Here is a 22263-nt window from a genome sequence, read left to right as displayed (position 1 = left end):
GCTTAAACAACAGAAATTTATTTTCTCTCAGGTCTGGAAGCTAGACAGTCCAAGATCAAGGTTCTGGCAAGGTTCAATTTCTGATGAGGGCTTTCTTCCTGACTTGTCAACAGCTGCCTCTTCTGTGTGTTTTCACAGAACACTTCCTTGGTATATGCACAAGGAGAGAGGGAGAGGGCGAGTTCTCTGGTCTCTCTTCTTATGAGGTCACTAATCCTATCAAATCCGGACCCCACACTTATGATGTCATTTAAACTTAATCATTTTCTTACTCCAAATATGACCACACTGGGGTTAGGGTCTCAACAAATGAATTTTATGGTGGGCACATACATTCAGTTCATAGCACATATACTTACTATAACAGAGACAACCACTGTTCTAGTCTTTTTTTCTATGACCACACAAACATATATGGGGAGAGGATAATACATGTACACATATACATGCATGCACATAGCCACATAGTTTCTTTTTGCTTTATTGGGATCATACACTCCATATTGTTCAGCATTTTGCTTTTTCCACTTCACTACATATCCTAGACAACTTTACAAGTCACTTCATACAGATCTGTTTTATTATTTTTAATAGCTACTTAGATTCCTTATGAGTACCATCATTTGTTGAAAGACATTTAGTTTTTCACTGTTTTTGCCTGTATTATCTTTAAAATTTTTAAAGCAAACACAAAAATCAGTTAATATAGTAAGAGCCTAATGGCAAACAAAGAAAACATTCACATTTTAAAAAGCTAGAAGGAAATAAATCAAAATGTAAAGAGTACTTATTTCTGAATGTGGGGATATAGATAATTTTGTGGGGTTTTTTTAACAAAATAATTTGCTTTATTTTCTACCTTACAGTTGGTGAGGTTGCTGAACATTACTTTTCCCCAGTCTCCATGCAGAGTCTGGCTTCAGTTCTGCTCTGTATCTCTGCCATAGAGGACAAAACTTCAGCTACTCTGGAAGTTACTCTGTTTAGCTATAAATAATAGCCAAAATTACATTTAATTGCATCATCATCATAATTTTCACTTTATTTACATAAAGCAGTAGCTTCCTTTTGGAGAAATTGTGTGTTGAGGAGAATGTGTATGGGATTTGTGTTTGACAGACTTTAGTTTTAAACTAGCTGAACTGTATGTGACTTGAAAAAGTTGCTTTTACTTTCTCTTAACAGCTCTCTTAGCTGCTAAACAGAGGCTTGTGAGAATTAGAGATCAAAGGATTGAAACAAAAATGCTGACACAACTATTTATTTCTCACTTATATATACCAATGACAAGTGGAATTTATAATCTGTGTAATGTCCTTTCAGCCCTCCTTTTAATGTGTGTGAAATATATAAGAAATATATTGGAGTTCTCTTCCTGCAACCAGTTCACACACTGTTTAAGCCAGTGCTATGTAATTTCTCCCTTAGCTGGTTTTTATTCTAGGCACACTTGCCTTCTTTCTGTTATGCAAGCATTTTAAAAGTTGTTTTGAAGACAGGGATATTGCTCACTCCAGGCTGTTTGTTAAGAGAAGGTCAGGGCAGCTTTTGGTGGGTTAGGTCAATTCCTCTAGCATCACTGAGTGTCCCTGCAGTGCCCTTTTTGTTCTGCACAGTGGAAGCAGTGGGGTCCCTGTTCCAGGCTCCAGCCAGGTCTGTCCCCAGATTCTAACTCTGGGTTAGGCCTACAGAAGCGGGGAAAGGGGTGGGGTATATAGGAGGAAGGGATTGCCTCCTGAGAGCTTTTCCCAGAGCGTAGGAAACTGAGCTAGTGGGGTACTTTTCACAAGTCTGCTGCTGCCAAGAGCTTGGTACACAGGATGCTCTCCGATTCTTCAGTGTGGTCTGAGAGACAAACCACCCTCCTTCTGCTCTTAAAGAAGAAAAAGTAAAGCATAGACATTGTAGGCTAATAATACAAGCCAAAATGTTAAAATAAAAACCCTAGGAAGTCTTCCATATTTGCTCCCCTCCCCACCACTAGGTCAATGTGCACAGCTAGATCTGTACTGTGTATCTATATTTATATCTATATCTTTAATCCTATATATAGGGTTTTACACATGCATACACACACAAACCTACACATATTTCTATATATAACTGTATATTATATACACACACACACATCCTTAACTCTATCTGCTTATATGTATACAGTTAATATTTTTGTGGTCCAAAGTGGTATCGTATTATACATGTATAAGATAGTGTAACTGATGCAAGGGTGGCTGAAGCACTTTTGGCTTCCATTCCTTTAACAGTAATTCCACACACTTAAACCTCCTTCCCTCTCCCTGCCCAGTAGGTACCCTAGCAGGTTGGTCTTGGAAAGCCACATTAATATCTTTTCCTTGAGACTTGCCAATAGTTTCATTGGTGACAAAGTTTTGCCTAGAGTATAGTTAGTACAGGAAAACTCTCGTACTTGCCTGGATATTATCTTTGTCATTTCCTTTCCTTACTTCCTCCACTCCTTGAGAGACTAGTAAATAAAAGGGAAATTAAAAAAATAAAAGAAATAATTTGTTCAGAAAGTTTTTCATCCTAGCCTGTTGGCTTTGTGTCTCATCAAACAATCTGGGGTTCAAGTTGAGAGATGCAGTCCTTGTCACAGTGTTTACTGAGTTCAACCCCTCCCCACAGTCCACTGTAGCCAGGCATCGTAATAATTACATTTTAAAAATATCTCTAAAACAAGTTACTTATGCCACAATTTAATGCTTATGTCCTTTTGTTCTCTGAGGATACACAGAGCAGTTATTTGTGTTCACAGTTTTTCTGATTAAGCTAATAACTGGAAAATAATCACATCCAAATGGGCTTCAGGGTCTTAAGTGGTACTTGTGCTTGGGAACTAACAGATATTTCTCCTTTGGAAGCAGGTAGTTGGAAAGAACACAGCACAGAAAACTTTAGGATGAATTTTCCTAGCAGCCATTCTGTATCGTCAAAGGTGAGTTGCAGAGGAGGACTGGCAGGGAGTGCTTCAGTCCCACAGCCTGGAACAAACAGAAACACAGAAGGGATTCTGGAACTCTGCCAAATTGTTTGACCTCAGGGAAACTTGCTGGGCCTTATAAAAAATACATAGTTCAGTTCTGACTTTTGCCTAGTTCCCATTTGACCCTTTACCCAGATCTGTCTTTCCCAACCAGCCTTCAATCCCTGAGGAGAGAGTTAATGGCACACAGGAGTGGGGTGATTTGGGCAATGAGTGCTTCTTCCTTTCAACCTGTTGCTGCCTAACACAAGGACAATTGGTCTTCCACCCTCTTCACAGTTCATTCAGTCATTGTCCCTGTCTCCCAGGTGAGTTGAGGTGAGCAGCAGTGATGAAAACAAAGCCACACTTTGTAATGATTTTTGCATCTAAATTGGACTTCTTCATAAAGAAGTGACAATGGGTGTGGCATGCTCAATAAGCCACGTAATGTTCCTCCGTATATTGTGTTTTAAAGGCCTCTTAATCCTTCTTTAAAACAATGTTAAAGTTATTATTGCTACTTGTTTCTATGTTTTATAGGCTCAATGAGGGAAGAACTTTGTTTTATTCACTGCTATATCCCCAGCACCTAGAACAGTTCCTGGCGCCCAGTAGACCCTCAATAAGTATTTGTAGAATGTTTGTAGAATGACAACAGTTATTGTTACTTCACAGCTTTCAAAGGCCTCAGTCATAAGAAAGAGACTTTAATATTATGTGTAGTAAGTGGTAGGTTCGTTTTGAGACAGAGTCTTGCTCTGTCACCAGGCTGGAGTGCAGTGGTATGATCTCTGCTCACTGCAACCTCTGCCTCCTAGGTTCAAGTGATTCTCCTGCCTCAGCCTCCCGAGTAGCTGGGACTACAGGCATGTGCCACCACACCCAGCTAATTTTTGTATTTTTAGTAGAGATGAGGTTTTGCCAAGTTGGCAGGATGGTCTCTATCTCTTGACCTTTTGATCTGCCCGCCTTGGCCTCCCAAAGTGCTGGGATTATAGGAGTGAGCCACAGCACTCAACCAGTAGATTCTTTTTAAAATCACCAACAAAGATCCTTAGTTCAGATTTTTTAAAAGTAAGAAACGTGTCTCTTGTGTTATTTATGCACTACCCTGAAGGGCCTGGAAAAGGAGCACTCCATAGGTCCAGTGAAGGCTGCTGACTACAAATGCCTTTCTAATGACACTTGGCTGAGAAACCATTCAAACTCAGAACCCTCTCCTGAGATGGCTAATAAGAGCAACAATGGCTCATGTGGAACCAGGGAACACAAACTTTGGTTTAATCATTTTCTTGTATTGTTATCAAATGAAATGATCTCTAGTTACCTGCAGTGCAGTCAAAGAACCACACGCATGAACAACCAGTATAGAAACATCCCATTGTGACTGCCTCTATTTGTTGCTCTGTACATCTCCTGCTTTGTACCAGAAAAGGCTTTGAATGCCTATCTGTGCCATTGTGGCACTTTTGACAAGATGCAGAAAATTAGGAACAGGGAACTGAAATAGGAAAAAAGATGCCAAACAGGAACTGGGATAGGAATTATTATCGTCTTAGGAAAAGTCATGTATAAAGTGTTGGTTGTGTGGAAACTGTAGCATGAAAAGTTTAAGAATGGAATTAAACTAATAAAATTCATCTAAAAATGGAATTAATGAAAAAGTACGTAAAGGGATAAATAAATGGTTAATCTAAAACCCATGTATTTGGTACAGTTTCTAGATCTCAGGAATCATGTTCCTGTTCTTATTTTGGTTTTGGCATCACATGTAAACCACTTGTTTTAAAATGCTGTATACTATGATTTTCTTCCTATATTAATATGCATCTTACAATATTACGGTAGGAAGAACAGCCCATGTTTCATAAATTTCACTGAAAAAGTACTAAAGAAAATGTGATTTGTAAAAATTGCTTTCCTCAGTCATTCATTTATTTATCTTTTGTGTTCAATCATTCATTTATCTTATTTCCATAAAGGATGTGAGGCTCTGGAAATACACTGAGGAAGAAAGTGCAATCTTTGAAGATGCAATGGAAAATTTTCCACAAAGAGTATTGTTAAAATAATGCCTTCATTATGAGAGATTTGGGAATTTTGTTTTGTTTTGTTTTAAGACATAGTCTTGCTCTGTCACCCAGGCTGGAGTGCAGTGGCACGATTTCAGGATTTGGGAATTCTGATGTCAAAGTCCAGTTAATTTCTTGAAAGGCAAAACTGTGTTGTCTACTTTACCAAGGTCACTAAAGCTGGTGTATTCAAATACCATGTCTCGGAAACCAAATGGATTCTTGTCCTTCTAAGATGTTTCTAATAAGGCAATATGTCCAAGAGCACCTAGTTCAGAGTAAATGCCTGTCTACTCCTCTCTTTCCTTCAATAACTTATCTAAATATGATCTGTAGTTTTCTTCAGAAATTACCATTTCCCACCATCAAAAACTGAAAACAGACTTCTGAGAGCAAATTTAATCTACTTTTGAGAAATATCAGAAGGATTCCTTAAAGAGTCTCAGATTTTGTTTCTTTTTCTTAATGCAATGCTTTTAATTTCTAATGTGTTTTTGTTGTTGTTGTTGTTGTTTGTTTGTTTTGAGACGGAACTCACTCTGTCACCAAGGCTGGAGTGGCAGTGGCTCCATCTTGGCTCACTATAACCTTTGCCGCCCTGGTTCAAGCAATTCTCTTGCCTCAGCCTCCCGAGTAGCTGAGATTACAGGCTCATGCCACCATGCCCGGGTAATTTTTGTATTTTTAGTAGAGATGGGGGTTTCACCATCTTGGCCAGGTTGGTCTGGAACTCCTGACCTTGTGATCCACCCCCTTCGGCCTCCCAAAGTGCTGGGATTATAGGTGTGAGCCACCATGCCCAGCCTAATGTGTGTTTTTAATAAAAAGAAAAGTCGAACCTAGAAGGGAATCCATCATAACATGCCTTAGTCATAGGAAAAGGTAAAAACATCCTGAAGATAAGAGGAAAAATTATATCACAAAGCAAGGAAAAAAAAAACCAACACCCAATGCACACTGAATTTAGAACACTTCAACACTCTGTTGCATGCAAATATCTTACTCTTATTCCACATTACTAAAAATACTTGTAGTTGCCCAACTGAGAAGGATTTGTTCAGCACAAATTTCTGGAGATGGCTAATTTCAATAACATTTAAAAATATACATTCTTACATATATACATTTATACATATTCATTTAAGATTACTCTTTTTCCTCTAGGAATGACTTATATTGTAAACTACATTGCCGAGTAGCTTGTGTTTCTATGTAATGAAGTACCACTGGAGAGAACAGTCACTTGTGGCAGGTAGCAAAGAAATTTCAATAAAGTAAACTCTTAGGATTATCAAAATTATACATTTGGGGCTGTTAGCATGGCCTAGAAAAAGATGAGGACAGGCTCATCTCATTAAAAGAGAAGAAATAGTGGAATTAGCTTGAATCTAATTACAAGCCACACTATCTAATGTAAAAACATGACTGTTTTTTCACTCCCATTCATTTTGACTAGTAATTAGTTTTGGCCTCTAAAATGCCACCCTTTAATCATCCAAACACAGATGTGATTTGCCGTGCAATTTAATCTTGCTTTAATGAAGAACTAATGGACGCATCGCAAATTACTTTCCCTGTTGGAGAAAAATTCTATTTCCTGCTTTTCAAAAGATCAAGAGTATCTTGTGATAATAGCCCAAGCGGCCCTGGCAGCCTCACCGCACAGAGCAAACAAGCTCTTTTACTCAACTCCCAATTCAATGGAGAAAAAGAGGCTACAATTAGCAACAAAGCAGGGGAAACGCAGCATTACAGCCGAATCACTTTCTGTAGCTCAACCCCCAGTAACCACTGGCTTGTTAGAGCCAGGTCTAAAGTGTCAGGCACGAACAATGCGCTGTGATAAATTACTCTCTTCAAACAGCTGCACTGCTAATTTTCAATTATACACACAAATGGCTCTCAGATTGGAAGAAAATGGAGTGCATGGGGAGAACAGTAGTAGATTTCTATGTTTGTTTGGTAGTGAGTGTGGAGGCGGGAGAATGACATCCTGAAAAGAAAGCCGTAGTGAGGAGTCAGTGTTTGAACTTCAGAAGATGAGCCATCCCGAATCTTTAGGAGACCTGTGGTTTCCTCGCTTAGCTCTGGGTTCTAAAAGGACTGAAATTACGAGTTACTTTCCGTCGTGGGTTTGCTTTTTTGGTTTGTTTGTTTTGACCTGTCACCCACTTTATACTGAAAATCCCCGGCTGATCTCACTGCTCTGTCTTGGTAAGCCCATTTGGATTCACGAAGGCTCCGTTCCCCTAGGTACCCTTGCCATCTGTGTACCAAATCCCTCCAACCCTTCCACCTCCTTCCTTCCTTAGTTCCTCACCAACCTAACTGTGCTTGAACTTTCTATTCTTTCACTCTCCTTCACCCCATCAACTGCTAGTCCTCATCGCCAGGGTTCAATGCTTTCTGTGTAGACTCTGAAGAGACACCTCCTCCAGCCAAATACAAAACATTCACCCTTATAGACTGAAAAATTTTAGAAATCTCAGTTGTTTTTTCTGAACTAGATTTTGCCTAAAGGGATATTAAAATTTGGTCAGTCTTTTCTCTCAAATAAGAACGGGTGTCATGAAATATTCCTTAATGCTTAATGCGGAGATAAACAATAAATCAACACACATTATTATTCTTGTTTCTTTACCTATGTGTTATCCATGTATCCTAAGTGGCAGCTTATATGGGGGTTGAATTTTAAATTAGAGTTTGGGGAGGTACATGCCGCTGGACCATCTCTGATTCTTTCAGGACGGATTCATGGTGGACCTGAGCTCAAACCCACTCCACCCCAGACTGTTAGCACCTTTGTGGAACATATGTTTCCCCACTCCCTTGTTTTTCAATTGTGGCTATTTCCCCCAAAACCAAAGGGAAGAGTTTGCTTTTTCATAAAAAGACATTTGCTAAAGATCTGAAGGGCGGCATGAGTTGATTTTCTTGTAGAAAACACGAAGGCAATTCTTGTTGAATCTATTTCTGTCCTATTCCAAGCAGGAGATTACAGCCACAAGTGTGTGACACAGAATTGTTCCTTTAGCTCACTCTCTTGGAAATCAGTTTGTGACAAGAGTAGCTGCTCTTTTGTCTCTCAGCAGGGATGGTGTTGATGTTACTGCATTTTTCATCTTCAAGACGCCACAAATCTTTTGCCTCCATCAGTGTTTGTTCATTGTGTTCACTGACAAGGAGGCACTCATCTTTTGGGGAGCAGTCTTGGTAGACGGTCCTTCCCCCCACCTTTTTTTTTTAACTGTGCTAATTCAAGCCAGGAGCCTTTTTTGACTTCAACAGCGGGGAAGAAGACAATAAGTGGGCCTCATCTGCTTAAGGGCCACACATTAAGTACGACACAATCATTTGGCCAGATGAGGATAATGGCCATTAAAATGTTCTGATTTCTAACCATTTTCTAGACGAGTGAATGTAATGTAAATTAATGTTCAAAAAAGGGGCTTCTAGAAGGGAATTTGTTTTAAAAAGAGCAATCATTTTAGAAGGATGGGGTGGGGAAACCTCTTTTAGAGCAGTTCTCCTCACCAAGGAAAAACTGTGAGCATTATATATTTGAATTAGAAATACTACCATTTAGAAAATACTACGTAGAAAATTTAAAATGCCAGTCCATTAAAAGTTACTTTTTTTCATGCAGTGGGGGAAGGCTACTGGGAGGTAGGGGATGGTTGTGATACCGAGACGAAATGCAGTACTTTTTTTTTTTTTTTTTTTTTGCTGAAGTGGGATTTTATTCCTTCTACTTTATAATCGTTACAGAAATTTAAACCTCAAACCATTTCAGCCCAAGCTTATACTAAGCTTGTTAGTGGTTTCTGATGCTGTGGACGATAATGCTGCAGCATTACCATAAATCAGCAGAATTAACTATGATCTTCAGAAGCATGCTTGAAAGTGGGTGACAGAAGTCTGCAATTTGGTGCTCTGAATATTATGATAACATTCTATATTAAATGTTCATAATCTACTTAAAGCTGAGCTTCAAGTACATTTTGTATTTGTGCTTTGCCCAATATTAAAAGCTAGTAACAATTATTACAACCCATGTGAGCTTTCATTATTTGCAAATGCAAAATATAAAAATATATGGTCATGCATGTACCAAGTGACCTTTTTATTAATTTTATAAAAAGTGTTCTTTTTTTATTTAAATATGGTTATTGCTTTGTTCACTTAAGAATTGGCTTTAAATTGTATTTTTATTACATTGTCATCTACAAAACAAATGATTGCAGATGATCTATAGATTCAAATGCAATTCCAATACTATATTGCAAACTTCTGAAATATGTATTATTCACTCTGCCTTTTCCATCTGATGTCGGTGTTCATATAATCTTATGACTCAAAAGACAAGGATCCTTATTGGACATTAAGTCCCAGAAAGTAATACTCTACTTTTAAATACACAATAATTAAGGCACATAGCATGTTTTTTGCACCTCACTCCCCAAAAGACATATTCTCTGACTCGGTCCCAGAATAACCTAATTATGAGCAAATCAAGGTTTATTTTTTTATTGCCCTTGTTATTCTATGCTAACTTGCATACGTACCAGAGCACATTGACCCATGCTCTAGAGGTACAAAGAAAATATCTAGGCAAGTCATTCTTAGCAAATAGATAGTAAATGAATTTTTTTTACAATGTTAAAAAAATACAGTTGTTCACTGCTTGAACTGAAAGCATCAGCTGGCCGTTTAGTCTTACTCCTAAGTGGCACCTACAAAAAAGTTTGCATATTGCAAGCAATTGGCTAATTTAGCAGGTAAGCAATTTAGACGCACTGAGGATTTTTTAATATATAACTTATTGGGCTAAAAGGAAGATCAAATAAATGGTGCAAAATGTAAATGCATCTTTATTTCCCACTGATTTTGTGCAAATGTAAGGGGGAAGATAGAATTTTGATAGTACTTTTCATTCACAATGGTTATATAGAAAAGCTCATCTAAACCAGATCCTAAATGGGATTAAATATGGTCTATTTTAAGTGGATAATCTTATAAAAACCTTATAAATTTCTAGCACTCAAATGCTCTCACAGAAGCTCTGCCTCTCGGATCTTGACTAGGGGTGCAGAAGGAAGCTGAGTCCTTGAGATTCCTCAGTGTACAGTGCTTTCTCAAGCTCACCCTCGCTTCCTTCAATAGCAATGAACAATTGCCAGCAGCCCTCCCTTTTAGTGTCCCTCTGCCCATATTTCACCTGTAAAAGGAACACGAAGAGAAAAGATCTATGAAAGCGCTTTGAAAAAACTGCTATATGCATGCAAGATATACAACAGAAAAACCTATTAGCAATAACAATCACAATTTATTAGGTACCTCCTAAGTGATGCAATATGTAAATGATTTGTACATAATATTTTTAATCCATACAAATGATTAAGTGGGCAATTTAAACCTTAGGTAGATGAGGAAATCAAGTCTCCAGAGAAGTTAAATACCACTATTTAGGATTTGAATTCAATTGTCTGATTCTAAAGCCCATAATTTAAATCACTGGACTACTCTGGCTCTAATTACTTAAATATGTCTATTATATATCATTATTTTTAAATAATGTTCCAAATTATATGGCCAGTGTGTTATATTATCTTGTATGAAAAATCAGGATTTTTAATCAGTTTTCTTCTTCTCCAAAGGAACAAGATTTGGGAAACATCTATCTCTTATCATATGATTGGGAAAAGGGGGAAAGATGTAGAGGACTGGAGTTCTCTGGATCACTCAATCAGGGATATAAATGACTTTACCATGATGATGTAATGCTTGAATTTGCTACTTTAGGTAGATTCAAAAGAGTCGTGTTTTTTTTTCTTTTTTCAGTTTTGGCATGATATGCATTAATGATGTTCTCATCAAAAGCAGCACAATTTTAAAAATGAATTTGGCAAAGCTCCAAAACTAAATGGGCATGTAGGATGTATATGGGCACCTTGGCATTATTACTTATAATAGCTAAGAAAATTTAGGAAGACAACATGTTTGGAGATTTGCCTTACCAGGAGCAAAGAATATTATGAAGATGTGCTAGTGAAGATATGCTAAAATGCAAAGGGGTATTCATGCAGGAATAAACAAAACAATCAATGGAGCAGAATACAAAGTCTAGAACAAGTTCAATATACAGATCGGAATGTATTTATGATAAAAACACATTTTAAATCAGTGTAATAGATGTACTATTGATTGCCCATTTGGGAAAAAAAAAAAAAGGCAATTACGTCTTTACTGTTCACAAGGAAGTCCAGAAGGATTAATGATTTAATGTAACAAATAAACAAATGAAAAAGAGTGCTACCAAGTTAACACCAGAAAAATCCTAGAAGAAAATACAAGAGAATTTTTTTTGTGATCTATAACTAGGGAAGACATTTCTAAGCAAAACATAAAACTGCCAAATCATAAATGAAAGAATTGACAAGTTTACATGCAAATAAAAATCTTTTCTATAAAGATCCATTTCTAAAAAGTTAAAATACAAAAAAGAGGCTGGAAGAACATATCTGCAATTCATACAATATTCAAAAGAGTAATAGCCACAATATGTAAGTTCTCCTATAAATCCAACAATAAAAAGAAAAAATATTTCAAGAGAAAATTGAGCAAAGGATATGGAGAGGAAGTTCATTCTTGGAAGATGAAATCAAACTAGGCAGTAAACATAAATGCATAATCTCACTAGCACTCAGGGAAATGCAAGTAAGAGCAAGTTACCATTTTCTATCCATCAAACTAGCAGAAATTTAAAAGCCTGCTCATATCTAGTATCCATGAAGATGTGGAGAAAAGGATACGCCCATACACTCTGGTGAAATATAGATTGATGTGATACCCATCAAAAATTTTTTTATAATACTATTATTTATTTATTTAATTTTTTAACCTTTATTTTAGGTTTGGGGGTACATGTGAGGGTTTGTTACATAGGTAAACATGTGTCATGGGGGTTTGTTTTACATTTTATTTAATCACCCAGGTATTAAACCCAGTACCCAATAGTTATCTTTTCTGCTTCTCTCCCTCCTCTCACTCTCCCCACTCAAGTAGACCCCAGTGTCTGTGTTTCCTTCTTTGTGCTCATAAGTTCTCACCATTTAGCTTCCATTCATAAGTAAGAACATGCAGTACTCATCAAAATTAAAAATGTACAAACCACCTGGCCCAGTAATTCATTTCTAAAAACAATTCTATAGAAATACTTTGCATGTGAACCCAAAGATACAGTCATGCATGACTTAAGGATGCAGATACATTCTGAGAAATGCATTGCTAGGTGATTTGGCATCACGCAAACATCACAGAATACACGTACACAAACCCAGATATATAGCCTACCGCATATCTAGGCCATATGTGGTAAATATGACTATTTCTCCTAGGCTACAAACTGATACAGCATGTTACCGTACTGAGTACTGTAGGCATTTCTAACACAATGGTATTTGTGTATCTAAACATGGAAAAGGCATGGTAAACATACAGTATTATACTCATAATTGCATATGTGTTCTGTTCACTGAAATGTTATGCAGTGCATGACTGTATACATATAATGGTGCTCATTATAACATTTCTTATAATAACAATTGGAAACATACTAAGAGTTCCTCAATATTAGGATGATAAATATGATACATCACACTATGCAGCCATTAATAAGAATGAGATAGATCTATAAATGGAAAGAGGGCCACTGATGAGTGAAAAACAGGCAAATCTCAGAATAATACATGTAGTGTAATTGTATTTGTGAAAGCCATGCTTTGTATGTATATGTGTAGTATGTGGAAAAGCAAAATTGAGATTAGCAGGTTGCAGTATGTGTGTGTGTGTGTGTGTGTGTGTGTGAGAGAGAGAGAGAGAGAGAGAGTTTTTTCTGTTTCTCCCAGATTAAGGTATAATTGACAAACTAAAATCATATATATTTACAATGTACAACAACATGCTTTGATATATGTAGTATACATTGTGAAATAAAACTAAGTAACATGTTCATCACCTCACATACTTATTTTTTTTTGTCATGAGAACATTTAAAATCTATTCTCTGAGAAATTTTCAAGTCTACAATAAGTTATTATTAACTGTAGTCACCATATTATATAATACATGCTCAAAGTTTATTCATCCTGTCTAACTGAAAATTTGTATCCTTTGACCAGCATGTTCCCATCTCCCTTCTCTCCTCCTCCCCTGCCCCTGGAAACCACCATTCTACTCTCTGCTTCTATGCATTCAATGAAGTTTTTACTCTTTATACTTTTGTATTGTTTAATTTTTTTTAACAGTTGTCTTGTTTTTTCTTCTGCAGTGAAAATAATGGTGACAAGAAGCCCACTGCCTGATTCACATAAGCAAGGCATGCTGCAGGGAAGACAGGGTTCTTATTAATATTTCCTTTCATGTGCTTACATATGAGTTACAGTTGCTAATCCTTTCCCACAGTTTAGCACCTAGTTAAAAGAAAGGGCTTCGGAATCAGGTAAGTGTAGATTAAAGTTATAACGGCAAATTGCTGAACCTTTGGAAGCCTCGGTTTTTCCACCTGGAAAATGGATTTTTATCTTACAGGACTGTCGTGAGGATTGATGAGCTAACATTCCTAAATCAGGGAGTTTGAAGTCTGGCCCAGGGTAAGAATTTGATGAATGATGGCTTTTATTTTGTAGCTTTACAAGAACTCTGCAGTGCAGTAAGACATATTTTAGCACTAATTTTTTTTATAGATGGAGAAGTTCAGGCTCAGAGAGGTTAAACGGCTTCTATGAGATCAGACAGGAATTGGACTAGAGTTTGGATCTAACCACCATTATTCTGACTTCTGGTTATTTTTCTTAGAAGCTGAAGAAATTGAAAGTCACGTAATTATTTCTTCAAACATTGCCAGTTTTTATCTACATTTTGGAGACTATGTACTTTCACCTGTGAAATGGGGGGAAAAAACACCTAATTTGCAGTGGAAATTGGCATTGAGGGAACAAATACAACAATAAAACCTCCATTAGTTCTACATAGCTTCCTATCAAGTGCCTGGCCTCTAATGTAGAAATGTCTGTCATTACCAGGATTCTAAGGCAATGAAAGAGACAGATTCCTACTCCATTCCGATTCAAAAGATCTCTCCTCCTGGCCTCCCTTCTCGCCCCAAGAAGCCTGCCTCATTCTGGAATCTCAGCTTTTCCTTTCAGTTAACATAATCCTCTGGCCTCCTGCTTGTTCCTCTGTCACCCTGGTACAGCTCCCTTTCCTCAGCACCTCTCTCATAGCTTTTCTGTCCTCATTCACCTTTGTTGCTTTTCCCATATTTGGGGCTCTCCTAATAACTCAGCCCCAAGAACAGATAACTTGTGGCAATTTATAAAATAAGAACAGGTAGAGCTTTGAAATACTGCTAGAGATATACAAAAAAAAAATTAAAATATGCCAGGTGTTATGGTGTGTGCCTGTAGTCCCAGCTACTCGGGAGGCTGAAGAGGGAGGATTTCTTGAGCCCAGGAGTTCTGAGCTGCAGTGTGCTATGCTGATCCTGTGCTATGCACTAAGTTAGGCATCAATATGGTGACCTACTGGGAGGCGGGACCATCAGGTTGCCTCAGGCGGGGTGAAATGGCTCAGGTCAGAAGGAGAGTGGGTCAAAACTTTCATACTGATCAGTAGTGGGATTGCACCTGTGAATAGCCACTGTACTTTAGTCTGGGAAATGTAGCAAGACCCCATCCCTAGAAAATAAATAAATAAATATTAAAATATAAAACTTAAGAAATCAATGCTAGGACTGGAGGTTGGTGGATAGCTTAGAGTTTGGCCAGGCAGGGCAGAGAGGATCTGGAAAGCCTATATGCCTTTGGAATGATTCAGGCACTTGGAAAAAGTCTAGCTGGACGGGCCACAATGTTCAGAGAGAATGGAGACTTAAACAGGTGATAGTCTGATTAGACAGCAACATCAGGTGGTACAGCAAGAGGTAGGTTCTCAAAGACGAACAGAGGTTTCCAGACTAGGAACTACATGGAGATTCAGGTGGGAGCATGAGGCAAAAGAGGAAGCAGGTGGCTGGCCCCGATCTCCAGGCTGACATTCAGGAACAAGCCTCCAGGGCCTCAGATAATTGGGGAGAACCAAGCAGGGTATGGAGTCAAGAATACAGTAGAACGCATGGAGTCAGGGCCCAGCTCAGGGGTTCTAAGTAGAGGCCTGGTTATAGAAACAAGATAGAAGGGCATTTGCTAGAAAGTGAGTCCAAGGTCAGAGCATTAAGTACTTAAGATAATGAACTAGTTCTTTCAAATTGCTCTTACCTAGACCAACCTTAGGATGAGTTCTAAAACAGGCTGAGCCCTGATTTTTGCCAGGAAGCATTTAAGGAATCCTATTTCTATAGTTGATAGCCAAGTGGGGCATTATATTGAGTGATAAGATCATATAGAAAACATTTTTTAAAGTAATTGAAAGACATCTAACTTACTAAAAGTGTTTGCTGTTTTTTCTCCCAAATTTGTTTATTAGGATTTTTGTTGGTGAAATTTAATTTAATTTTACATCGAGAACATTTAGAGAAGCAGTAACATTCCTTCTGTTTTTTGGTTTGCTTTGTTTTTCAGTAATTATTTTCCAACTATCCCTTTACTATGAAACTATTTTTTCTGCTAAGATTAGTTGCTTAAAAGTTATGCTTATGCAGATAGAGGGAAAAATTGCACATTGGTTAATAATAGTTACAAATTATCATTAGCACTATGCAGTTTTAATGAATCATTATCTATTTTAAGTTAATATTTCTGTGATGTGGATCTGACTATCCTATTTTTACAAAATAATCTGACTAATCAGGATGTTCTAATCAGGGCAGAAAGTAAAATGCAGAAACTTGGGGTCTTCAGGCCTTCCCTTGGCCATGGGACTAAAACTGTGTCTCTAATAAAAGCATTTTGAAAGACCCAGAGATGGCATAAGGTTTCTTTTGGCTGGCCACCAAAAGACCTCAAGGAAGACTTGCTTCCCTTATGGAGACAATTTTCTTCAAGACCGTGGTCCAGGGAGCCAGCAGGGCAACACACACATCTTACAAGGGCTTTTGATTTCCATTAAGTCTCCTGCACACTTCTGAGCAAAGGACAGGAGGGGGCATTTTCCATGAGGAGATCTGTTGAGTTTTTGTGCCAACTGAAGACTATGAATTAATATTTTTCTGATATTCCTAAAATTAAAACCCCATGAACTAACCATTTTAGGGTATTAAGCTTTGCTTCAAAATGCATTCTCCACAGATGAATCAAAGGGCCTAATGCATTTGCTATTTGGGAATAATAAAGCATGAAATGGGGTGTGGGACTTATATATTTACATAAGAAGAAAGAGCTGGAAAACTTAAGGAAAAACAACAGAGGAAGGTGCTACTATGAGACTTGCTCTGAAAATACAGACATGCCAACTGCTTCTCTTCACACCACTGCCCAGTCTATAGCAATTGACGAGCACATTTGAAAACCTCAATCCTTTTTTTCCCTTGGGTTTCCTAGATCGTCTAGATTTTGACGTTCTCCTTGTCTTTGCTGTGTACCCCTGGGAGAAACAAAGGGTGAGAAGAAACAAGGGAAAGGAGAAACATTTGTGTTTTCCAACTTTTCAGTGTTGATCAGGTATGACCATTGCTATGAGGAAATAGACATTGGGGATTACTATAGCATGAGGGAGCGGGGAAAGGGTTGAAAAACTAACTGTTGGGTACTATGATCACTACCTGCATAGGCGATCATTTGTACCCCAAACCTTAGCATCAAGCAATATACTCATGTAACAAACCTGCACATGTACTCCCTGAATCTAAAATAAAACTTGAATTTAAAAAATAAATAAAATGAAAAAGAAAAAGTCAGGATATAGAAACTTTAGAAATGACAGTCACCTAGTTTTAACTTAAAATTGAGCAATTTAGACTTTGCTCAATATGAGAAAAAGTTGCCTAAGTCACGTATAAATGTGCAGTTTGTTGCAATCTCCTGTACCACTTGTGGCCTTCATGTAATTTCACTGAAGAATCATGGACTCACACAGCTTTGTAGCTGTGAGTTGAACATCTTAAGATAACTAGGATTTAAAATATTTAAACAAAAGCATCCTTATTGATATAATCACTTTTATTTTATTTACATCAAAACAAATTCAGGATTAGAGTCATGCTGTCTGCAGTCCTCAAGTGAATAGAGGCTGTGTCAGCATAGGGTCGGCTGCATATGATGGCATGCCCAAGTTATAAAGACATAAGATTAAAAGTTTCTTTCTTTTTCAAGTAAAATTATTCTGGAGATAATGAGTCCAGGGTTGATCTGGTGGCTCCATGGTCACTGGGGACCCCAACTCCTTTGTTCTTTCTTCTTTGCCATTCTGAGCTTACCTCATTTCTGAAAATGGCGGTTCTAGCACCAGTCATGTTTGCATTCCAGCCAGCGGGAATAAAGAGAAGATGTGTAAGATGGAGGGCAAAAGAGATTCCCAGAAGCTGCTGCAGATCTCTTCCAGTTGCATTTCGAAAGCCATTACTTAAGTGTATATTCACACCTAGCTGCAAGAAAGGCTGGGATTGTATTCTGTATTCTGGGCAGTGATGTGTCCAGCTGAGCACTGGAGTTTTATTAATAAGGAAGAAGGTGAGAATGAATGTCAGAGTAGACAGTTATTAGTCTCTGTCTACATGTCAACTATTCTAATATCCCTTCTTTACCTTGGTGACTTATTTCTTCACTTTAAACCTTACTAATTTTCTCATAAATGCAAGTACAGAGCCCTGATATATCAGTTGCATTAGGTGAAGTCTATAACAATGATAATTAATTGGAAACACAAGATAAAAACAGAGGTGGTTTCTAAGGAACGAAAAACAAGGGGAAAGGGCCTTTCCATTTTCTCTCTCCCTCTTCTTCACTCTCTAATTCCCCACCACACACACACACTTTTATATACATTCTGGCTGTTTTTCACTATTTCTTGTCTAGGGAACCTCACTGTACAGCAGAAAATATTTCACACAATCTAGAGAAGGAAAGAAAGACAGTTACTTGGCTTTTTTGCTCTTTATGAGAGGCCATTTTACAGAAAGTACAACTGGTTTGTTTAGGGAATTAGTGAAGAGGAAGATAGTAACATATAGAAGGCATCAGCTGAAAGGAAGAAGCAAAATCTTTTTATCACTCTTAGAGGAGGAGAGTCAAAAGCCTTCTGAGCTTTTTTGATTAATTTCAAACCCTGCCTTTCATTGGATATTTTTTGCTCTCAATTTTTTGCCATCTGAGACATGAATTATTTTACTGAGATAACCTCTAGAAGTGGTGGGTTTCACCTGTAACACCAACAAAAACAATGCATAAGAAGATTCATTTGTTGTCTAATTCATTTTCAGGGTATAGTGAGTTGCCTTACTCAAGGGACTTATCTGGTAACATTTGAGGACAATGTAGGATGGAGACTTTATTTTGTTGGACTTGACAGTAGAGTAATATGAGTGAGGTACAATATTATAATATGTTAGTTTATTAATTAGTTGGATGATGTTAGTACAATGTGGTAAGAAATAACATACACCAAGAACTGTGGTTCTCTGAGTATGTAATAATCAATTGAGGAGCTTGTTAAGCACGTCTGTTCCTAATCCAATCCCTAAAACTCTGATATAGTACACCTAGGATAGATCCTAGGAATCTAAATTTTTGACAAGCATCCTAGGATGAGGCTTTGAGAGATACTGACCTAGAAATTCAGGTAGCATGAAGAGCTTGATATGAGACTTAATGCTGTAAGGGCTGGATTTGAGCCATCTTCACCACTTACTAACTGTGTGATCTTGGGCAAGCTATGTAACCTCTGAGCTCACTTTCCTCATTTTTAAAGTGGGTAAAAATATAACTAGGATTGTTTTTCAGATTAAGTGAAAGAACATATGTGAACACATATAGCACATTGCTTAACGCTTGATAAACATGTAAAAAATTCCTCCATCATGTTAGGATCTGAAGTGCTCTACAGAGACTACCCAAAAGTTCCATCGCAAGTAGGCACTTGAAATTTCTACTAAAGCAGCAGGACTTTTGGTTAAACTAGTGTCTTCAGAAAACACCTATTGCTACCCAAATAAGCCACTTTGAATTGCTAATCCTTACCTAGTGTTTTCTGTGGTGTGTTCTGTGGAACAGGGGTCCTGTATGACCTTAAGAGGTGATAGTTTAAAAAAAAGGTTCATGGTCAAATATTAAACAAAATCAACAAAGTTCCCTTAGTGCAAGACTTCTCTGAGCCTTTAATATGTTAATGCACATTTGAGGCTATAAGAGGGAGGTTTTGTATAAACTCTTACCAATTTTTTTTTGTTTGTTTTTTTGAGACAGAGTCTTGATCTGTCACCCAGGCAGTGTGTGCAGGTGGTGTGATCTCGGCTCACTGCAGCCTCTAGCTCCTGGGCTCATGCGATTCTCCTGCCTCAGCCTCCCAAGTAGCTGGGGTTACAGGCGTGCGCCACTGCACCCAGCTAATTTTTGTATTTTTAGTAGAGACAGGATTTCACCATGTTGTCCAGGCTGATCTCAAACTCATGGCCTTAAGTGATTCACTGCCTTGGCTTCCCAAAGTGCTGGGACTATAGGCGTGATCCAGTGTACCAGCCACATTTTCCAAATTTAATTGAGAAATATCTTTTCATGTAACATCTCAGGAGGTTTCGGTCTACAGAACACATTGGGAACACAATCACATATTTCTACACATGGAAGTTTTAGATTTGCTAGCAGACAGCAGTAAGCTAATGCAGAGAATAGAATGTGGGTTTGTAGGGAAGGAATAGAAAACTGTGTGGGATATTGGATTCAGCCTGGGGAGGAAAGTCCAGGTGAGAAACTCACATCCACCAAGGACATCAGAAGGGTACCAGGGATCCTCGAGGCTGAAGCCCTAAAATAGAGTAAAGAAGACTTGAAAGTCAGAATGCTTTAGTTATAATTTAGTATAGCAGTGCTTGTCTGGGAAAACAAGTTCTATGCTTCCTTTCTCTGTTCTTACATTTACCTTCACAGCTTCTGACCTGCCTAATTGAGGTTACCTAGGTACTTACAAGGAAAGTTCATTCTTCCCACCCCTTTTCCCCAAAAAATAAATTTAAATTGGGTATTTAACATATGTCACTCACTGGGCTTGGAGCTAAGAACTGAAAGACATGCATAAGATATTGTTTATATCCTGGAAGATCAACAGTGCAGTCAGAAGGGAATACAGGTGAAAAGATGCATATAGCCATATGGTAATATTAATTAAGTTATGCATACCACTTAATAGTGAATGAGGGATGGTGCTTCTAGGATTGGAGATGTCAGGAAGATTTCACATATAAAGTTATGGTTTGATATGGTTTGGCTGTGTTCCCACCCAAATCTCATCTTGAATTCCCACATGTTGTGGGGGGGACCTGGTGGGAGGTAATTGAATCACGAGGGCGGGTTTTTCCCATGCTGTTCTCGTGGTGGTGAATAAGTCTCACAAGATCTGATGTTTTAAAAATGGGAGTTTCCCTGAACAAGCTCTCTCTATGCCTGCTGCTATCCATGTAAGACATGACTTGCTCCTCCTCGCCTTCCACCATGATTGTGAGGCCTCCCCAGCCACGTGGAACTGTAAGTCCATTAAACCCTTTTTCCTGTACAAATTACCCAGTCTCGGGTATGTCTTTATCAGCAGTGTGAAAATGGACTAATACATGGTTTAACCAATCCTTGAGAAAGTAAGGCTTGACTGCAATGCAAAGATTTAGAAGCATGCAGGAGAATAGAGTCCTAGAGGACAGAACCTCAGCTAGCAGCAGGGAGCACATATATTATTTGATGGGAGCATGTTGTCATTTTATGAGGTGAAGCTCTAAGGGTAAATTCTCAAAACAATGACATTAAATTCTCCCTGTAATTGAGAAGCATTTTCCATCCATGACACAGTGACATAAACGAAGAAGTCAGCACTTAATATTGTATGCATAGGGGAATCTAATGTGCTTGTGGTCACCCTGATGGATTCTCTCTCAGGTAAGTCTTCTAGGGACCTCACATAGTCACTGCTGAGTCTTAAGTTCATTGCCTGTGCTGCTTGCTTAGGCTGGTTCTTGAATTGGAATGCCCATCTATTTTCATTTGAAACCAACCATCCTTCAAGGAGAAGTATGAATCTCACGGACACTCAGTGTGAAACTTTCCCTGTAGTCCAAAGTGTCATCTTGTCTCTGTTTATGGTCTAAAAACAACATAGACACACTATTCAACTCATTCACTAGAGTTGCATCTTATGTGGGAATTATCCCAGAACATATCTTAAATTGTTATTTAAATGGATATGGTCAGATCACTCTGAAGTTCAAAAACCAAGAACTAGTTACTTTGCTTTTCTACTTTTTTTTTTCTGTCTCTCTTTCCTGAAGCAGTGGAGATGAAGGTTTCAATTTAGCTATAGATTGACAAACAGAGAAAATGAGAATTAAATGAAATATGAGGCCAAGGGACCTGTCTAACCTCTCTGATTTCTTCTCTTATTCCTGGTTCATTGGTTAGTTTAGGGAGAGAAGAATCTACATCAGATTAGAAGTATGAATCGACTTTCCTAGACAAAAATGGCTACTCAGTGTGAAGGCAGCCAGATAGGCCATCTCTCTGCTTCAGAACAAGCGTCCCTGGTAAACAACTACTTCTTACCTGAAAGGCTCTATATATTAGAATATATTTAAAAAGAAAAAAGTAGAATTAGATGAAATAAAGCTAAAGCTATTTTCCCAAAAATTCAAGAAATAGGAGTTTTGAAGTGTGTGTAGATAAAACAGAGATGAGTCTCCAGGCCTATTAATTATATTAAGTTCTGACAGGAAAAAAAAAAAGCTATGCTGTTAGAGAAATAATGTTAGGAGCTACTAATGTGTATGCCTCCAGTGACAAAATATAAAAGAAACAAGCAGAGCACTTATTCCTTCCAACTGCTATGGCTTTAGGCAAAACTTTGGCCACAAGGTCTGCTGCCTTCTAACTGTTTCTCTTATTTCAACAATTGCACTAAATTCTGGGTAAATTAATTTTCCCTCAAAGTGAAAAGTTCTTTTAATAATTCCTTGAGTGTTCACATCGTTGTCATTAATGGGCTTTGTTCTGTTCACTGTAGGATAACTTCTTTATA

General features: G+C 37.9%; 1 long non-coding RNA gene and 1 pseudogene across 1 annotated transcript in view, besides 1 other annotated feature; both read left to right on the top strand.

The window, feature by feature from the left end:
- LOC101928882 (uncharacterized) overlaps window positions 1–22263 on the top strand; it is a 162590-nt gene that overhangs the window by 118977 nt on the left and 21350 nt on the right. The window contains exons 6-10 of the long non-coding RNA NR_109986.1: window positions 2883–2956; window positions 3159–3322; window positions 13388–13709; window positions 16596–16715; window positions 17520–17723. This is a non-coding gene — a long non-coding RNA (uncharacterized LOC101928882). The remainder of the gene's footprint in view (window positions 1–2882; window positions 2957–3158; window positions 3323–13387; window positions 13710–16595; window positions 16716–17519; window positions 17724–22263) is intronic.
- Window positions 6116–7165: an enhancer, noted in NCBI's record as "VISTA enhancer hs655". NCBI's record gives its function as "enhancer in: nose[4/6]" and the evidence as "EXISTENCE:transgenic organism evidence [ECO:0001131][PMID:17130149]".
- Window positions 14499–14797, top strand: RN7SL229P (RNA, 7SL, cytoplasmic 229, pseudogene; annotated as a pseudogene).

This window comes from Homo sapiens, chromosome 3, assembly GCF_000001405.40.
Source record: "Homo sapiens chromosome 3, GRCh38.p14 Primary Assembly".
Classification (NCBI taxonomy): domain Eukaryota; kingdom Metazoa; phylum Chordata; class Mammalia; order Primates; family Hominidae; genus Homo; species Homo sapiens.
Note: the sequence above shows the minus strand (reverse complement) of the source record. Positions and strands in the feature narration are given on the sequence as shown.